The 20,637-nt window shown below is 43.7% G+C and overlaps 1 long non-coding RNA gene across 1 annotated transcript in view; it reads left to right on the top strand.

Annotated features, from left to right (window-relative positions):
* LOC101928269 (uncharacterized) overlaps positions 1-20,637 on the top strand; it is a 50,008-nt gene that overhangs the window by 18,505 nt on the left and 10,866 nt on the right. The window contains exons 3-5 of the long non-coding RNA NR_110418.1: positions 1,333-1,591; positions 4,247-4,412; positions 15,996-16,088. This is a non-coding gene — a long non-coding RNA (uncharacterized LOC101928269). The remainder of the gene's footprint in view (positions 1-1,332; positions 1,592-4,246; positions 4,413-15,995; positions 16,089-20,637) is intronic.

Here is a 20,637-nt window from a genome sequence, read left to right as displayed (position 1 = left end):
ATTGGAAAACATAAAATTATTGGAGAGATATTTGTGTCAATATGAGTTATCTGGATATATCAGTATTGGACATCAATTCTACTTTTAAGTATAGTTAATATTTTAGTTATGGAGTCATTCATTTTTCTGGATTATATTTTCAAGATTCCAGAGAGAAATTGACTTACCCCTTTTAAAATCTTTAATTGATATACATATATATATATATATATATATATATATTTTTTTTTTTTTTTTTGAGACAGAGTTTCACTCTGTTGCCCAGGCTGCAGTGGCGCAATCTCAGCTCACTACAACCTCTGGCTCCCGGGTTCATGCAATTTTCCTGCCTCAGCCTCCTGAGTATCTGGGATTTCAGGTGCCTGCCACCACACCCGGCTAATTTTGTTTTTAGTGGAGATGGGATTTCACCATGTTGGCCAGGCTGGTCTCAAACTCCTGACCTCAAGTGATCCACCCACCTCCACCTCCTAACATGCTGGGATTACAGGCGTGAGCCACTGTGCCCGGCCCCATATATTTTAAACATAATTGTGTATTCTTATTTTTGGCTCTCCACCGAATATGGCAATGACTGTGACTGTCCCTCTCTTCCATGCACTCTCTTCCCCTTTCTTATTTCTTGCTATTTTTCTCTGCCTCCAAGATAAAATATTACAGTGCATTAAAAATATTTCTGAGAATTAATGTTGTAGAGGAATGTCAGCTTCTCAGGGAAAAGTTTAAATAAAGTCAAAATAGTGTTTTTCCTTAGGGGTTACTCACCTTTGTACTAATAATTCTATAGGCAGCCAGTAATTGACCTGCCCTTGAAATTACCAGAATCTGGTGTCAATTAGTAATCAATTTGGGGGATCAATATGTGTCTAACTGCTGGGACTCAGGCTGGCACTGATGCTACTACTTTGCAAAGTCACGAGTGGATTTAAAAGTGTTTTAGGGACAATTCTTGAACCCACCACCAGATGGGAAAGGTACTCCATTGAAGTGGAGTGTAGCATTGGGTTTGTTCAAACAGGTTTTGTCACTTTGCTCCTTCCTAGACTGGATGGTTCGCATTTTTCTGGATGCAGGAAAGAGAGCTATTCACTTGGGCTGTATTTTAACATTTTATGTAGGAATTAAAGTACATGTTGTTACAGATTCTGATACTATATGTGCTCTTAAAATATCCAAAGGGTTACATATTTTCAACCTTTAAGAGGATGCTATTGACATGTAAGTTTGACTTTTTTTTCCCCTCAAAGTAAACTTTGGTTTCCCATTTCATAACTTCCAATCCCCTCTCTTCCATGTCATCCCCCACGTTCTTTGTCGGATCATTAACAATAGGTTAATGATTAAGAACAAGTGCGACAGAGATCAACAGCTCTGCGTTCAAGTCCAAACTCTTCCCCTCGGCAAGGCACGTGACCTCCCTGTGCCTCAGGTTCTTGCAGAGTGGAAATGCCCACTTCACAGAATGGCTGAGGGTGTGGATGAACGGTGGACGCTCCTGCCCGGCACCCATGGGTGCTCACGACGATTGTGTTTTACTGTTGGCTGCAATATGTCATGACTTATCATGTGTGATCCTTGAGTGAATAGGCAGGTGAGTGCAATATTTCTATACCTCTCCGGTACATTAGCATCTCAAACTCCACTAAATGATAATTTAGTTATAACCCCTTGCTTCCTCCTCCCCACCCCACCCCCACTTCTGCATAGGTAAAATAAGTGGTTTTCAGTGGTGAGGGTAGAGGATGAGACTACTCTGCCAGGGAACATTTGGCAATGTCTGGAGACATTTTTGATTGGGGGTGGGTATTACTGACATCTACTGTGTAGAGGCCAGGGATGCTACTAAATATCCTATCATGCACAGAACAGCCCCCCTACAATAGAGAATTATCTGGTTCCAAATGTCAATAGTGCTGAGGTTAAGAAATACTGGGCCAAAAAAAAAAAAAAAAAAGAGAAACACTGGGCTAAGTGGTATTCAGTAGAAGGAAAGTTCCCTGTCCTCAGTCTAGTCCATTGAACTTGATTACTTTCTACATATATACTAATCAGGACCTATGCTGGACTCTGGGGCCAGTCCCAAAGAAGAAAAGGCATGAACTCAGACCAGGACCTGCAAAGGGTCTGAGATTTTACTCTACTTACAAGCTGATAAGTTAGCTTGTTACTGTTTTATGGATGCTGGCAGAAGACACAAGATCCCTGGGTCAGAGACAAAGGACTTTATTATTCATGGCACAGCAAGCTGAATGAGCGTCATGTTGGCACTGGTTCCCCTTGCCCCTCAAGTCCCACAGGGGTAACCTGGATGTGCCAACGTGAATGCTAAGCATGTAGTGAGTTTACATTTTAGCTGATGAACACTGAACTTGGGAATCTACAGCTCTTATGGTAAACAGTAAGTCTGCTCCTTGTCTGTTACTACGTTTGCTCTTAAAGTGACAGAAATTAAGGGGGAAGACTTTACCTCATCCCTCAAGGGCATAAAGAATCCTATACAACGTGCAGAGGTCATGGAATAGGGTATTTCAGATTGGTGGTGTTTGAGAAAGCTTTATGGAAGTGGAGATACCTGAATTGGGTTTTATGTAATTTTTTTATTTTTAAAATTTCATTAACATACTTTGTTTCCAGAAGCTTTGCCAATGAAGGTAAAAAGCATAGAAATACAGCTCTGACAAAAAAGAGTTGTAGTATGAAAAATCATTAAACATGAAATTAAAGGAAGCTGTACTAAAATCACATGTGCATCCAAGTGGGTTAGGATTGGGGAATAGAGGGAGCACCTGATCTTAGCACAGATCAGGGAGCACAGGAAGAGGGAGGCCTGCTTGGCCTCGGGCTGTGGAGGCATCAAGGATTTGGCTCCTGGCTGGTCGCAGTGGCTCACACCTGTAATCCCGGCACTTTGGGAGGCCGAGATGGGAGGATCACTTGAGGTCAGGAGTTTGAGACCAGCCTGGGCCAACATGGTGAAACTCCGTCTCTACTAAAATACAAAAATTAGCTGGGCGTGTTGATGCATGCCTGTAATCTTAGCTACTAGGGAGGCTGAGGCACAAGAATTGCTTGAAGCCAGGAGGCCAAGGTTGCAATGAGCCGAGGTCACGCCACTGCATTCCAGCCTAGGTGATGAAGTGAAACTCTGTCTTAAAAAAAAAAAAAAAAAAAAAGGATGTGCCTTCCATTCTGCAGACTCCTGGAATTGCACTTAGCAATACACAGTCACAGCTGCCAGTCCCTAGCCTGTCTCCAGAAAAGGAAGAAACCTAGACAGGGACACGGAAGAAACCTAGACAGGGACACGGAAGAAACCTAGACAGGGACACAGAGAGGCGTGTATCTTGCTTGCTCATGTGATTGACTGGGAAATGCTGCCTGGGGTGCTGTTCTGCTAGAGTTTTTGAGGCATACCTGGGCCTAACAGGAACATGACCTGGACTAGGTTAGTGTTGTTTGCCTTGGGAAAAAGGGTGAAGTGATGTGTGGTGTCTGCATGGAGGATACTTTCTGATCCTTCCAGAAGTCCAACTCAGAATGAACTGGGTGTAAAAGGGTGAGTAGGGCTTCAACCCAAAGGCAAGGAGAGAAAAAGTGTGCCCAGAAGCAGAAATAGGATAGGCAAAAGGCACAGAAGCACAGACCATCATGGGATGTTCAGGAACAACATGCCATTTCATGTTGACAGAGTGAAGCATGCCGTCAGAGAGGGCAGATGGTCTGCTCTTGGTGGGGCAGTCAGGGGGTGCATCTTGCCTGTTGGTGTTCCTCAGAATGAGCAGGAGCATCTCTTACTGTGGTCTATGAGTGCCCTAGAATTGAGGGGTATGAAAATATGTGTCATGGATGTAATTGCAATTCTAGAGCTCTCTGTGAAATATAGAGAGCTGTATCTGCCCTCTTTGAAAGGCTCAGTGACACGAAACATGGAACGAGGAATGAATGATACAAAGGAATACAAAGAGGTAGAGGAGAATTGGGAGTTGCGGTGATGCTAGGAACCCTCTAAAGAGAGACTTCTTTTTGTTCCAGCAATGCACTAACTTCTGTGCTGAGCATCTCAACATAGATTATGTGGGGAGAGGGAGGACCCTCTGGAAAAGTCCTGGCTGAGCTTAATCAGCTTGTTAGCACAGAGAAACGGTTGCATCTGTGCCCCACAATGATAAACGTAGGTATAACAATGACTTATTGTAAGCAGCTGAGCTACATTTTTCTGAGATGATTTTTTTTTTCATGTTGGCAGCTGCGAGCCTGAGCGGACTCCTATGAACCAGTCTTCTCCAGCAATAGACCCTCCTTCAACTCGTGGTAGCCTGTACGCCAAGGGTGACAGACTGGAAAGCAGGATCCACCGGTTCATCTATGGGAAAAGGAGGGGGAATGAGATCAAGGATTGAGGACGCTAATGGGTAAGCATGAGAACCATTTGGGTAAACACCGCAGCACGGTCTCTATTAATCTAATCTGAGAACACTGGCTATGAAAAGTATCAGAGGCTGGGCAGGCAGGGTGTAAAATGGAGCCAAGTTAGGGAGAATCCTGTGGGATATGGCCACAAAACGGAACATTATACCACAGTGAAAATGATGAAAGTAGGCAACAAGCATTAACATGAATACATTCTAGCCTTTTAGTCTGAGAACCAGAAACCATTCTGTATATTTCCAGCAGGAAGGGTTTACTTCAGGAAATTAGGTGCCTAGAAAATGGTTGCAAGGCCATCCTGGCCAACGTGGTGAACCCCGTCTCTACTCAAAATACAAAAATTAGCCAAGCATGGGGGCGGGTGCCTGAGTCAGGAGAATCGTTTGAACTCGGGTGGCGGAGGTTGCAGTGAGCAGAGATTGTGCTACTGTACTCCAGCCTGGGCGACAGTGAGATTCTGTCTCAAAAAAAAAAAAAAAGAAAGAAAAAATGGTTGCAAAGGATGGTCAGGGAGCAAAAGCCAAGGGAGGTGGTGCTCCTCAGAAGTCAGGAGGTATCAGGAAGCCACTGTTGCTACTGCAGAAGCCCGGTTGTCTGCCGCTGTCGCTGCCCCAGGAAGAGTGAAATCTGTCTTTGTCCCACCATGTGCTTCTCACTGATGATCTCAGAACAGAGACCCTAAGGGCTGTTCCCAGGCTGCCCCATCCTGTGATACATCAGCTGAGAGCAAAGAAGGGGCAAGGATGATGTTGAGGGTCAAAAGACAAGAGTGACATAATGTGGTATGAAAAAGCAACTCCCAGATTGCATGCAGCATATTACCATTTTTTAAAGTACAAAAAATAACATATTGTTTGGGCATTTATGTCACGGTGCATTGGGGCTGGGCTGAACTGGCATGCAAGAGCCAACCGTTAACTTTTCAGGAATTTTGCAAGCCAGTTGTTAAACACAGCCATGATTCAAAATTAATTACACTTATTGTTAAATAAATTATATTGAATTTGATGATAACATTCTAAGCTCATCATTTCTTAATCATTTTACTGCCTTTTATTATTAGCTGTGCTTTTAAGGTTATTTATAGCTATTGCATCTGTTTATTTTTATTTTTTTGAGACGGAGTTTCACTCTTGTTGCCCAGGCTGGAGTGCAATGGCACCATCTCGGCTCACTGCAACCTCCACCTCGTGGATTCAAGCGATTCTCCTGCCTTAGCCTCCCAAGTAGCTGGGATTACAGGTGTTTACTACCACACCTGGCTAATTTTTGTATTTTTAGTAGAGGTGGGATTTCACCATGTTGGCCAGACTGGTCTTGAACTCCTAACCTCAAGTGATCTGCCCGCCTCAGTCTCCCAAAGTGCTAGGATTACAGGCGTGCGCCACCGAACCTGGCCAGCTATTGCATCTGTGTGGTGAAAATACAATACTCTGGTGTGCTACTGTACATCTCTTTGCAACTCTGTGTTCAGTGACATCACCTTGGTAGCCTGGAATATGCCACAATGGGAGTATTTACACCAAAAAAATTGACAAATTCTGCCAATCAGAGCTTGCTTGTTTTGTTGATTATCTAGACACAAGGAAGTGTGGGGAAATGTTAATCATGCAGATTCGACTTAAAAGTTTGTCATGTCTTCAGCTGCTGCATTGTAAATGGCACAAAAATTGAGGAAACAGTCTTCTAGTATTTGACAACTACTACCTGATTTAACAAAGAGTCGCCCTTATGAATGATGAAAATGTTTTCCACCATATGTCTTTGTCATTTATTTTGCTTTCTTCTTACTTGTTAATGTAAAACAAAAATATTAACCAGCATTCATATTGGAGCTACACTTGTTCATCAGTTGCAGCCATATGTTGGCTGCAATTACAATGGTTTGGCAAAAATCAACAAAACCATTCTGTAAGAATCAATTGACTTTACCGATTTACATAAAAGGCAATCTTATTATTTGTAAATTGTGTGCTATACATCCTTCATGTCAAAAAATTTATAAGACACAGCATGATAACTATAGTTAATGTATTTGTCTTGGTCTGTTTGGGTTGCTATAACAAAATATCATAAACTGAGTGGCTTACAAACAACAGAAATTTATTGCTTACAGTTCTGGAGGCTGAGGAAGTCCAAGATCAAGGTGCTAGAAGATTCAGTGTCTAATGAGGGTTTGCTCTCTGCTTCATAGATGATGCCTTCTAGCTGGGTCCTCACAGGGCAGAAGGGAAGAACAAGCTTCCTCAGTTCTCTTTTATAAGGGCACTAATCTCATCTGCGAGGGCTCCACCCCAGTGATCTCCTCACCTCCTAAAGGTCCCTTAAGACTATTGCATTGGGGATTAGGCTTCAACATGTGCATTTTGGAGGGACACACACATTCAGATCATAACAGTATCATATACTTAAAATTGCTAAGAGAGTAGATCTTAAGTATTCTTACCACAAACATAAGCTAAGTATGTGAGGTGAGGTGATGGATATGTTAGCTTGATTTAATCTTTTACAATGTGTACACAGACCAAAACATCACATTATACACTATAAATATGTATACTTTTGATTTGTCAATTATACCTTAATGAAGCTGGGAAAAAATTTTAAAAATTTGTAGTAAACTTGTACAGGAATAGACACACATACCCACACGCATACATTCAATTTTTTGGAGATATGGTTGCTAAACATTTATCATCACATCACTGCATATATATATCATGAACGAAGAGGTGATAACATTTCATATAGCGGTTGCCTATGTGGGGCAGTTGTGGGTGGAAATCCACCAATACCCGCCTCTATTGTGTCTTCCCTGGTTTGCCATTTACCTAGGCATCCAAGTTCAAAGTCGGGGAGCCATGGAGGAATCCTCCCTCCCACTTCACAGCCCATCGCCCGCTATGGTTGAGTTTTCTTTTTCATTTTATTTGGAAAACAGCTTTATTGAAGTGTAATCGATACATTTGAAAAACTGGGCAGGCCACAGGGGCTCATACCTGTAATCCCAGCACTTTGGAGGCTGAGGCAGGAGGATTGCTTGAGCCCAGGAGTTTGAGACCAGCCTGGGAAACAAAGTGAGACTGTCTCTACAAAAAAATAAAAAATATTAGACTGGTGTGGTGGCACGTGCCTGTGGTCCCAGCTACATGAGAGGCTGACATGGGAGGATTGCTTGAGCCCAGGAGTTTGAAGCTGCGGTGAGCTGTGATTGCACCACTGTACTCCATCCAGCCTGGGCAACAGAACAAGACCCTGTGTCAAAACAAAACCAAAACCAAAACTGCACATGTTCGATGTATACGATTTGGTGAATTTGACATAGGCTTATACCCAGGATACTATCCCAACAATCAAGGTAATGAACATATCCTCTCCAAAAGTTTCCTTGTGTTCTTAATTTTATCATATGTTTATTTTTTTGTGGTAAAAATGTTTAACATGAGATCTGCCCTCTTAACACATTCTTACGTGTACGATACTGTGTAAACTATAGGCATGACATTGTGCAACAGATCTCTAGAACTCATTCATCTTGTGTATTGGTTCATTTTCATGCTGCTGATAAAGACATACCCAAGACTGGGTAATTTACAAAAGAAAGAGGTTTAATGAACTCACAGTTCCACGTGGCTAGGGAGACCTCAAGATCATGGCGGAAGGCAAAAGGCACTTCTTACATGGTGGCGGCAAGAGAGAGAATGAGAGCCAAGCGAAAGGAGTTTCCCCTTATCAAACCATCAGATCTCGTGAAACTTATTTACTACCATGAGAACAGTATGGGAGAAACTGCCCCTGTGATTCAATTATCTCCATCAGGTCCCTCCCACAACATGTGGGAATTATGGGAGTACAGTTCGATGAGATTTGGGTGGAGACACAGCCAAACCATATCATCTTGCATAACTGAAACTTTATACCCACTGAAAAGCTCCCCTTTTCCCCCCTCCACAGCCCCTGACATGCACCATTCTATTCTCTGCTTCTTGAGATTTATTGTTGCGTTTTCTTCCTGAGCCTTTCATTGTATTTATGTTTCCACTTGACAGTTTCCAACTTGGAGTCCAGTTGGAAAAATGGTTTTTCCCAGCGAGTCCTCTCCTGTAACTTTCAGAGCACAGACTGCTATGGAGAATGTGGTTGCTAGAGAACATGGAGGGTAGAGAGACACAGAGAGCTCTCCTAGTGTCACCCAGCTTCCTCAGCAAAGTGTGCTGTGGGCATTTATTAATCTCTGGGGAAGCAAACCTCTGCCAAAAAAGCCTCAATGAAGAACACATGTAAGGGGACCTTGAGCAGTTCAAAAGGAGAGGCCAAGACTGAGGTCCCTGAAAAAAAGAAAGTGACATATCAGCGTAGCCTCTGCAGAAACGAGCAGGACAAATGGAAGAGGGTGAGTTGAGCCCACCTAGAGAAATCCAGGCCACAGGATGGGGCTGCTCCTTGAAGCCATTTCTCAGCATGGGGCAACTGGAGGTGGTGGAGCTGGGTGAATGTAGCCCCAGTGTTGTCCTGGCCCGAGGGTGATGCAGGGCCTGCACAGCTGTGTGTGCAACAGAACTCCAGGTACTGTGAGCTCAGCTGCTCCTCCTCTTGGTGGAAACTCCTGGGGGACAAGGTTAGGAAAGTGGGCAGGGCATGAAGGGACATGGGGAAGCAGGCTTGGGGAGGCTGCATGGGCCTGTGAGTGCTACCTATGATGCCAGCTGCGTTCTGAGGCTCCTTCAGCACCTGTGTCTGCAGGATGGTCAGTGCCATGCATTGAGGCGGATGCCCACTCTGCTTGCTTGTGCTTTTCTGTTCCAAGAACAAATCCCTGCTTGCCTCCCTCCCTTCCTCCCCAGAACCCTGCACCCAGCATGACTCCTTTCCTCTTTTCTAGAAAGAAGGAAGGGGAGCTTTTTGTTGCCCCAACAATGCCCTGGGCCTCATCCCTTTGTTGATATCAGTATCTTGCTAAACATACTTCTTAGATTTGGATACCCACGTCAATTCCTAGGAGAACAAATAACACATATAATGTGGTTTTCAGTTCCTAGGGGGTTTAATGGTTCAGCTGTTTTCACCACATCCTGTATTTAACCTCTGGTCAAGGCTCAACATTGAGACTTGGACTGGGTGGACCCAACTGGGTGGACCCATTTGCTTCACTAATGTGGGCAAAACCAGGTACGCTGTGAGCCCTTTCAGAATGTGGCTCACCCTCCTCTGAGTGTGTCCCAGGCTATATAAAGACAAGGTGCAAATAAAGAATGTGTGTCTGTAGCTGGCGGTTTGGAATTCAGCATGTAAAGATACTACCCAATCAAGGCAATCACAGTATTTCAGGATACAAAAGAGATTGATTCCACTCAATTGGGAAATGCAAATTAAAGACTTGGCTTCATTCCTCCACCAGAGCAAGAAGCCAAACAGTCTTGCCCTTAAAAAGGTGGGCTCTAAGTTCATGTGACCTGCCTTGGAGGGTGACTGTCCTCACAGTCACATGCTAGGTGGCCTTGGCGTTAAAGACCTTATTTGCTCTGTCTCTTCCTTTAGCTTCAGTTTCCCATAGTGCATTGAGCTGGAAATACTTGTCCTAACTCCAGCCCCGAGGAACCTCTAAAAAAGACCCCTGGCCAGCCCTTGTTTCACATGAGGAGGCTGTGATTCTTCTCACATCTACGCCCATGCACATGCTAGAACATTCCTAAAGGGATGATTTCTACCTGGCTATCAACAGTCTGCAATCTTACAGGAGTCATTCATTCATTCATTCATTCATTATTTTCATTCTATCTCATTCTGCCTCAAACAAGTATGTAATGTTGGATGGGCACAGCTTGTTCAATAGTTGCTGAGACTTCTTGAGAGAGAGAGGCAAAGTATGCTTTCTTGGATTCTGAGTTCTGTGTTTCCTGTTTAAGATTGCAAACTACTGTGGCTTCCTTCTGGACAAAAGGAAGAAATAAACACGGAAGGCCTTACCCCTGTACAAAGATTAGCACAGCATGAAGATGCCGGGCAGGATGGGAAAGGCTGCCGCCGAAATGAGGACTAAAGGGAAGCATTTCATTACCCCCATCCCATGGCTGATGTTTTATCATTTCCTCCTTGCCTGGGTGCTGTACCAGCTCTGTCCAGTTCCCATCCTGGGAGAGACACATTCTGATTCCATGATACATGGATAATTTTCAGGTTTGGCGACTAACCGTGAAACTGGATGTAGCATTCTCTTAAGAGATGGATGCATCCTTGCTGGGCGCAGTGGCTCAACGCCTGTAATCCCAGCACTTTGGGAGGCTGAGGTGGGTGGATCACCTGAGGTCAGGAGTTCAAGACCAGCCTGGCCAATGTGGTGAAACACTGTCCCTACTAAAAATACAAAAAATTAGCCAAGTGTGGTAGCGTGTGCCTGTAATCCCAGCTACTTGGGAGGCTGAGGCAGGAGAATCACTTGAACCTGGGAGGCAGAGGTTGCAGTGAGCCAAGATTGCGCCACTGCACTCCAGCCTGGGTCACAGAGTGAGACTCTGTCTCAAAAAAAAAAAAAAAAAAAAAAAGAGAGAGAAAGAAAGAAATGGATGCATCCTACGGTTAGATCAAAAGGATCTGCTCAGTAGCTATTTCTAATTTGGCTGCTGTACTGAGAAGCGACCTGGGTTGCGGGTGCGGCTGCTCTTATCACATTGTGCCGAAATTCTCTGCACTGTTTGCCCAGCTGGTGTCTGTTTAGAGAGCTATTTAGATCCTCCCACAGAAAGGAAAGCTTTCCATCCTCGGAGAAACCACAGCGATTAAGTACATATAAGAGAAAAGCATTATGGTGACTCATCAGCGCAAAATCAATGATTCCCTTTTTGCATTATAAATGATGGGGTTTATAGTGGACAGCTTTTAGCATGAGTGCCGGTGTGACTGTGGGATGGGGTGGGGAAAGAATCACACAAATGCCATTGAGCACCGGACCTGTCCGTTGGGAAAAAGACTAGAAACGATAATGATGTGATTAGGGTGCTCACTGATAATCTGAAGCAGGAAATTCTTTTTTAAAAATTTTTATTTCATTTTATTTTAAGTTCCAGGATACATGTGCAGGACATGCAGGTTTGCTACATAGGTAAACGTGTGCCACAGTGATTTGCTGCACCTATCAAGCCATCACCTAGGTATTAAGCCCTGCATGCAGGAAATTCTTAGCCTTTGTATTGGAAGAAAATATTATCAGAGGAAGTAAGAATTTTCGGTTAGCTTATGGGCAGTCATTTGAGGACACCCAACCTAACTTCTCTGTCCATGTGGAAATTCTCTACAAAACCTGACTTCGAAGCCTGAAGAATCTCATGATCCCCTGAATTTCCATGCAGCCAAGAAAGTGAAAGGCAGCCTTTGTAGGAATTTGTCAGTGACAGGATGCTCATCACCTCTTGTGGCTCTTCCAGTTTTTGAATGGCTTTAATTACTTGAAAGGTCTCCCTCACATGTAGGTGAAATTTGTCTTCTGGTAACTTTTATCTGTTGGTCTCAGTGCTGCTCTTCGGAACTATAGGGAAAGCCTAGTTCTCTTCACACTACAGCTCTTACAACATTTAAGGATGACACTAGTGTTTTCTCTGTCTCGCTGTCTCCTGACCGTCCTCACTGCTTTCTGATGCTAAAGAAGAACACTTATCACTACTCGGCCACCTTCCAGGTCTGAACATGTGGGGTCCATATGTTGTTCATATATGGAGAAAGAACTGTGGGATTGTTGTCCACCTTTGTTTACAACACTATACATCTATTAACCAGTCTCTCTTAAGAACTTGTTAGTTTTTTAGCAGCTATTGGGTCCTGCCTACCTTAAAATCTGAATTTGAGCCTTCTAGTCCCTCAAATTTCCATGTACCTGAGGAGTTGGAAAGAAGCAGAAACAAAATATCTGACCTGTCACTATTGACCTGTTCTGCTTTGATCAAGGCCTTTGCAGTATTTGATGTTAGAATCTTAGGTAAGTGGATATATTACGTAGTTTGCATAGTTTTGCAATTTTAATATGATAGGATCACACAAAAATCCATGTTCTCCTTTGGGAATGGTGGCTGGAGCTTTGTTAGATTTTTGACAAAAATTATACGTGCTGGTCATAGCCACGTAAACAGTTCAACCAGCTGAAGGTGTTATTATCAATAAGGAGCTAATGCCGCCAGAATTAGGAGTTTGAGGGCATTTGTGTGCAATATTTACAGAGCAATGGGAATCTCTTATTTTATTTTGGGAATCCTCTTTGTATGACTGGTGCAGATGTTAGGGTCTACCTGAGCAAATTGTGCCAGGCAAAGTCCCAACCTGCAATGTGAAGTACAACCAGTACATCTACCCTTGAGCAGGCCTTCCAAGAGCATGTGCTTGGTGGGCCAATTCATTCAAAAGTATACTTGTTATACTTTTCTGAATCATCAGATAGTACCTGTGGACGTATCTGGTTTGAGTGGACTGAGCTGGTGAGAAAATCTCTCTCCATCTCCCTCATTGTTAATTTGATGACCATCTTGGATTAGAAAGAGTGGCCAACTCAGCAGTGGGGAGACTTAGCCTTGGGAAGGAAGGTGGGAAGGGCCTCTATCTTCCCATTTCCCTGTGCTGAATCCTTAGCCTGAATCCCAGGAGCCCAGGTGTGTCTCTTCTTTCTTTGAACTTCTTAAGTACTTGTGGTCTATATTAAACACTTGGGCATTTACACATTTAATTAATAAGCCTGTTAACCTTTCCCCATGAGTACCTATTGCCTCCCCAGCTAGATTGTTCCATCTTTTGCATCCTCTACACTCAAGCATGGAGTTGTACCCATCAAAAGGCCTAGATAGATAGATGTGGAATTAAACTATGAAGATCTGAGAGGTTCAGCTTCTTCCTCAGAAGAAAGGGCAAGAGAAAAAGGAAAACAGATTTAGGAGATTCCTATCCTATGCTGGACACTGAGCTGGGAACTTTACATTTGTTACTCCCTATAAATCTCCATAGGACCCTCAAGTAAGCATTATCATCCTCATTTTGCAGAAGAAGAAACTAAGTCGCAGAGAAGTCAGGGAATGTATCCAAGTTCAGGCAAAGCATAAGAGACCAGGCAAGGCTTGATCTCGGGTTCCTCCACCTGCAGGAGCAGCAGTGTTAGGAGACTCTCCTGCCCTGGGAGGGGGCAGCAGGGCTGGGCGTGAAGACAATGTTTGTGGCTGTAGTTGCTGCATGGCCACCTTTGAGTTACCACCAGGACCATCTCACTGCTGAAGACGGATGGGAGAAGGGCCAGGCCTGAAAGAACAAAGAGGCACATACATCATCAAGGAAGGTGGAACCATGAAGAAGGAAAAAGAAAGAGAGGAATATAATAGATTACTTACAGTTCTCTAAGCAGGAGGAATCTCACATCTGCTCAGCAGAGCAATGTGCTCATCAATAAAGTAGTTGTAAACCCCTGAAAAGGCAAAGCAGTGACATGAGTTTATCTTAGTCCCTTCTTTCAAAAGGAGGAAGACATTTTTTTTTGCTAGAGATGACAAGGATTTTTAATGTTGTCATAGAGCTTTGGAAACTTTGATCCCAATCACTGGATCATGTTTGCAAACTTTATTAGTCAGTTTGCTCCTGTTGCAGTAAATAAACCTTGATACCTCAATGGCTTACATGAGAAAGATTTATTTTTGGCTCATGAAAAGTCCAGTGTGGGTTGGGTGAGCCTCCAGGGCAGCTGTCCATGTGGTGACATGGGAATCCTGCTTCTATGCATGGAGGCCACCATCTCAGCACATGGCTTCCAGATTGCTGTGGCAGCCAGTGTGGAAGGTCAAGGACCAGCTTTAAATTTACTTATTTTTTATTTTTGGAGGACAGGCTCTCTGTCACCCAGGGTGGAGTGCAGTGGCACAATGATAGTTCACTGCAGTCTCGAACTCCTGGCCTCAAGTGATTCTCCCACCTAGTCCTTCAAAAGTGTTGGGATTACAGGCGTGAGCCACTGTGCCTGGTCAAGTAACAGTTTTTACAAGCCTTAGCATGGAAATGTCACAGATCACTTCTACTCACTGTTCCTTGGCCAGAGCTACTCACACAGCACTGCCTCACCACAGAGCAAAACTGTGCTGGGAAGGGTGGGGGAACATTTGGGTAGTCAATGACTATTAGATATCCTGACACATTTTCCTTACTCTCTTCTGCTCAGCACCCTTTCTAAGGCAGCTCATTGCTTTTGGAAAGAATACAGGCTCCCTAATACAGCTTGTAGGCCTCTGGCCTTGGCCTCTACCTTCCAGTCGCATTGGACATTTTCCATTGAGTCTCTTGGCTGAGTTTACCTTCTCTTACCTACTACCTTCTGCCTGCCTGAAATATTCTCCCCTTTCTGATTTTCTGGCCAACTCCTTTGCTATGTGGAGGCTTAGCTCTCACTTCTTAAGGAAATCTTTCCTGAACCTCTAAATCTGGACACAGTCCTTCCTTTGAGCATCCAGCCATCCTTTATTTCTCCCGTTACATTGCATTGTGGAAAGTCACTATTTTTTTCTTTTCTTTTTTTTTTTTTTGAGACAGGGTCTTGCTCTGTCACCCAGGCTGGAGTGCAGTAGTGCAATCTCAGCTCACTACAACCTCCACCTCCTGGGTTCAAGTGATTCTCCTGCCTCAGCCTTCCGAGTAGCTGGGACTACAGATGCATGCCAGCATACTTGGCTAACTTTTGTATTTTTGGTAGAGACAGGGTTTCACCATGTTGGCCAGGCTGGTCTTGAACCCCTGACCTCAAATGATCCACCCACCTTGGCCTCCCAAAGTGCTGGGATTACAGGCGTGAACCACCAAGCCTGGCCAGAAAGTCATTATTAACTAGTCTGTAGTCTATTAGACTGTGGCTGTGTGACACTTGGGATCACTGTGAGAGCAGCCCCTGGGCACAGTGACCCCCACACAGTAGATGCTTAATTAGTATACGTTGGGTAAAGGAAGAAGGGAAGGAACTTCCTTTGAGGCTGAATGTGGATGATGATACTGTTGCAGATTTTATTCTAAACTAAAAAGCAAAGGCAGTAGAAAAGGCAAGAAACTTTGAAAAAGAATAATGGAGAGATTTTCACTTTCCTTGAGGTGAACAGGAACAATGGAGTTTCACTAATTAAAAGAGAGAGATGCTGGTGTAGGAATAGACCAAGAGACAAATAGAATAAAATAAAGAATTGACATTGCAGTCTTGATTCTGAATTCTGCAGGCCAGGCCAGGCAGGCTGGAAACTTGGGCAGGGTTTCTGTATCTTGAGGCAGAATTGCTGCTTCTTTGGGAAATCTCAGTCTTTGCTCTTAAGGTGTTCAACTGTATGAGGATTATACATGGGAAACTGGCATGTAATAAAGGAGGCATTTTATTTTGTTTTATTTTATTTTATTTTGAGACAGGGTCTCACTCTGTCACCCAGGCTGGAGTGCAGTGGCACAATCATGGCTCCCTACACCCTTGATCTCCAGGGCCAAGCCATCCTCCCACTTCAGCCTCCCGAGTAGTTGGGACTACAGGTGTGTGCCACCATGCCCCACTAATTTCTGTATTTTTTTTTTTTTTGTAGAGATGGGGTTTCACCATGTTGCCCAGGCTGGTCTTGAACTCCTAGACTCAAGTGATCCACTCGCCTTGGCCTCCCAAAATGCTGGAATTACAGGTATGAGCTATTGTACCCTGCCAAAGGAGGCATTTTAAATCAGTGGAGAAAAAATGAATTATTGAACAAATTATTTTTATACAATTGGCTGTAGTTTGTAAAATTAAAAAATAATCAATAGTTTAATAATTAATTAAAAAATAAGATTTAAGTTAAAAAATTAAAAAATAAAGTCATATCCCTAGCGTGTTTTCCTATGTGGTTCTCATCTATGCAAGTTTCTTTCCTACTGTACTGCAGAAAATGAATAAATTGGAAAGTAGTTAAGGACCTAAAGCAATGCATGGTTTTGAGGGAGCCTTTTGTGTGCCTGGCAGTGTACTCCGTGACTGGCCACCAAGTGTTAATAGCTTGGGTGTCTAAGAAATCCTTTCTCATCCAGTCTGAAAGATTCATGTTGGAATACAGGATATTTTTATTAAAAGTCTCTCCCTTCTCCATAGTCATATTATAGATGAACACTGTGCTGGCTCTGTGTACATCAAGACAATCAGTCTTGCTCCTCCGTAGGCCTTTGGCAGAGCAGGGAGTTAAATGGGCATGTTCGTGACATGCACTTCAAAGACAGCTGGTTACGTCAAGTCTCATTATAATGAAAGATGAAAATGAAAGGTGACTGTCTAAACTTTGCCCTGTCTTGGTATTCAAATGCCACATGAATGTTGGTTTACTGAATGCAAAACCAGAAAAATATAGCGACCGTGCGTTGTCTTGTGTACCTTGTACCCAGGACAAATGGGTACAAAGGAGGTACAAGGAGGACCTTGTTGGCATGAAAAAGTTACTGTCATACCATTGAATACATTTCTGTTGTTGCTCCTGTTTTTGGTCTGTATTGACTTGTATTGCACTGTACTATTCATTTAATATAAAAGCAAAGCACGCTTTGGATACTAAGTCCTAAACCAAACAAGTGAAATACAAGGATAGCCTCCTGAAAGATTTCTGGATAAATGTGAATATATACAACAGATAAAATCAGTTGCAATTATTCATATCACAAAATGATACTTAGCATGAAAAAGATTCAATGCAGGGTCTTTAAAGAGAATTTTCTTAATTTAGATAAAATACAATATGGTCAATTTCAATGCACCTTTAAGAGCATAATCTGTAATGAAGCCCGATATAGTACATTTTACAATTAAAATATTTCAAGTCCCCCAAATTCAATTTGGCTCATGGTAAGTGCAAATAGGACTCTTATTCCTCTCTCTCTCTCTCTCTCTCTCTCCCTCTCTCCTCCCCCCTTTGTCTTGTGTTTTACCAAATTGTAGTTTCAGATATACAAACTTCTGTCCCTTGCACACACTTCGAGTTGCCTTATAACTGGGGACGTCTAGCAGCTGAAGGGTAGAAAGCTATGAGAAACTGAAAAGGAGCTTTGGCCATAGTTAAAGTAAAAATAGAATTGCAGAATTTGTGCAATTTGTCTAGCTAATTAAGCAAAAATCCACAGGACAGAATAGCAATAGTGAGCTGAAAGAATGTGCCCAATGGGATAGAATTCATCATTTAAAACAATTCTGGTTTTCTACATCAGCTTTATTGGTTGAACAGGCATAATTCCCTGAAAATCTGTGGTTAATGTCTCAGGTTCAATTAATGCATTAAGGAAATGTTAACATTTTAGCTGTGATGTAGCTTTGTTTCTTACTTTTATTTTTTGAAATGGAGTCTCACTCACTTTGTCACCAAGGCTGGAGAGCAGTGGCGTGATCTCAGCTCACTGCAACCTCCACCCCCCAGGTTCAATTGATTCTGCTTCAGCCAACTGAGTAGCTGGGATTACAGGTGCATGCCACCACACCTGGCTAATTTTTGTTATTTTTAGTAGAGACGGGGTTTCATCATGTTGGCCTGGCTGTTCTTGATTTCCTGACCTCGGGTGATCTACTGGCCTTGGCCTCCCAAAGTGCTGGGATTACAAGTGTGAGCCACCACCGCCTGCCTAATTATTATTATTTTTTTAAAGTAGAGATGGGTTTTACCATGTTGGCCAAGCTGGTCTCAACCTCCTGACCTCACGTGATTGGCCCGCCTTAGCCTCCCAAAGTGCTGGGATTACAGGTGTGAGCCACCACACCCAGACTGCTTCATTTTTTTTAAAAACAAAATCTCCCAGTGCTTTGGGAGGCCAAGGCAGGAGGTTTGCTTGAGGCTAGAAGTTTGAGATCAGCTGGGCAACATAGCAAAATACTGTCTCTACAAAAGAAAGAAAAAAAAAAGAAAATTAAAAAATAAGCTGGGTGTGGTTGTATGTGCCTATAGTCTCAACTACTTGGGAGGCTGAGGTGGGAGGATCACTTGAGCCCAGGAGCTCAAGGCTGCAGTGAGCTGTGATTGTGCCACTGCCCTCCAGCCTGGGTGACAGAGAGAGACCTTGTGTCTAACAACAAAAAAAAAACAAACATACAAAAAAAAAACAAACAAAAACAAACAACAAAAAAGCAACCCATCCAAACCCCAAAAACTAAGGGCATGAGTTTGCAAAGGATCAGAAAGGACTTCACATGACTTTGCCAGTCACTGCACCTTGCGCCTGTGCTGAAATGAGCTTATTTATATTCAAATGTGAGGCCTGAGTTTAGGGCTTGTCTCTGACTCAGTTTCTATATCACCACAGAGCTGCCCACCTCTCTTACCCACTGGCTGGCTTGGCCCCAGCCATGGCTTGTGCTGGTCCTGCAGTCACAAAGTCAATTCATTGCTGCCATTGTTGCTGCCTGTACTACAGGCCAAGTTGCTCTCCATGCAGTACGAATTGGCTAGAAGAAGCTTCACCTGAAGAGGGCGGGGGATGCATCTAGAAAGCATGGAGAAACTAAAACCCCCTGTCACCACCTTTGCCCAGCAGGAGGTGATGGATAGGAAGGGACTGGCTAATTAGTTATTTTCCCTTCTCCATCTCATGCCCTGCCCCACATACTGTTCTGAGATGCAAGCATCCATGTGACCTTCCTGAAGACATTATGTGAGATCAAGCCATCATCCAGGCTGTTATAAAGCAGCTCAGTAGGCCGGGCACGGTAGCTCACACCTGTAATTCCAGCACTTTGGGAGGCCAAGGCAGGTGGATCACCTGAGGTCAGGAGTTCAAGACCATCCTGGCCAACATGGTGAAATCCCGTCTCTACTAAAAATACAAAAATTAGCTGGGTGTGGTGGCCCACGCCTGTAATCCCAGCTACTTGGGAGGCTAAAGCAGGAGAATCGCTTGAACCTGGGAGGTGGAGGTTGCAGTGAGCTGAGGTTGCGCCATTGCACTCCAGCCTGGGCAACAAGAGCAAAACTCCATCTCAAAAAAAAAAAAACAAAACAAAAAAGCAGCTCAGTAACCCACGCCCTCATGTTTGATCTTCCTCTTCCTTGCCTCACTGGTCTCCCTCATACTCCTGCTTCCCCAGGATTGCACTTGTCAGTGAAGTCTTAGCACGTAAACGTGTGCCCAAGGCTCTACTGTCCAGGGAAACTTGGCCCCAGAAAGCAGAGCTTCTGATGGGTTTTGGTAGCAGCAAGTGGGTGGTGACAATCTCTGACATTCTGTAGCATCACAATTACAAAAGCTTTTATCTGAAGCTAATTAGGATGAGGCAGAGGAGGAAGCCAAAGTACTGACTTATCAGACACTGGAGCACTTGATGCATTTTGGAGCAATAATAACCCTAAGGACTTGGATGTGGGTGGTAACTTTTGAAGGCATTGGAAGCCTTGCAAAAAGAAAATAATAAGTGCAGGGCAGCTATTTGCCACCTGGAGGCCCTGTCTGAAAGCCAGAGTATTTCTGTAGTCACTTTAGAGGAGGTTCTCATCTCTAAAACCCACAGGACAGAAGGTTATTAAACCTGGGATCTGATTATAAGGGTGGCAGAAATGCAAAAGAAGCAAAATGCACAGCCTTAACACCGCCCCAGTGTCAAAGTAAAGACCTGACAGGAGAGTGGACCACCAAGACCTTGGATGGTGATGTTTGCGTGGCCAAGGCTGAGAATATTGTAGCCCCCAATTCCCTGAAGCTTCCTGGCTGGCCGAAGCTGTTCCCAACAACCTGGGGAGAGAACAGCCTCGTCTTCCCAGTGCATTACACTATGACCTCACCTGGAGGTGCTCCACACAATGATCATTGTTTTTCTCCAGATCTGTCCCCACTATCTCTCATTATGTCCTGGCTAACAACCAGAGTCAGGCCTGAGCACAGCTTCAATGAGGAAGTACAATCCCTGCTGCAGGAGAAAACAGTCTATGTGTCAAAGGCTTACAGGAGCTGGCAGGCACGAATTAGCAAACACCTTGTAGTAGCGTATCTTGAGGGTGTTAGATCATCATGATTACCTGGAGCTGGTCCTAATAGTCTTTTGAGACAGCTCCATGACATTTAGATAGGATGACGGCTGCAATTGATAAGGTGGAGATGCTGGAGCATATTTGGCATTATGTCGAGAAAGGGGTTAAGGCTCAAGGAGTTGGGAATGTTAGAATGAATTTACTATGTAAATCCTGAGAACCTGCCACATCACCGTGTTTCCTGAAAAAGACTGGGAGACACTTT

This window comes from Homo sapiens, chromosome 21 (assembly GCF_000001405.40).
Source record: "Homo sapiens chromosome 21, GRCh38.p14 Primary Assembly".
Lineage (NCBI taxonomy): Eukaryota > Metazoa > Chordata > Mammalia > Primates > Hominidae > Homo > Homo sapiens.
The sequence above is the reverse complement of the archived record's forward strand: the minus strand, read 5'-3'. Positions and strand labels throughout refer to the sequence as shown.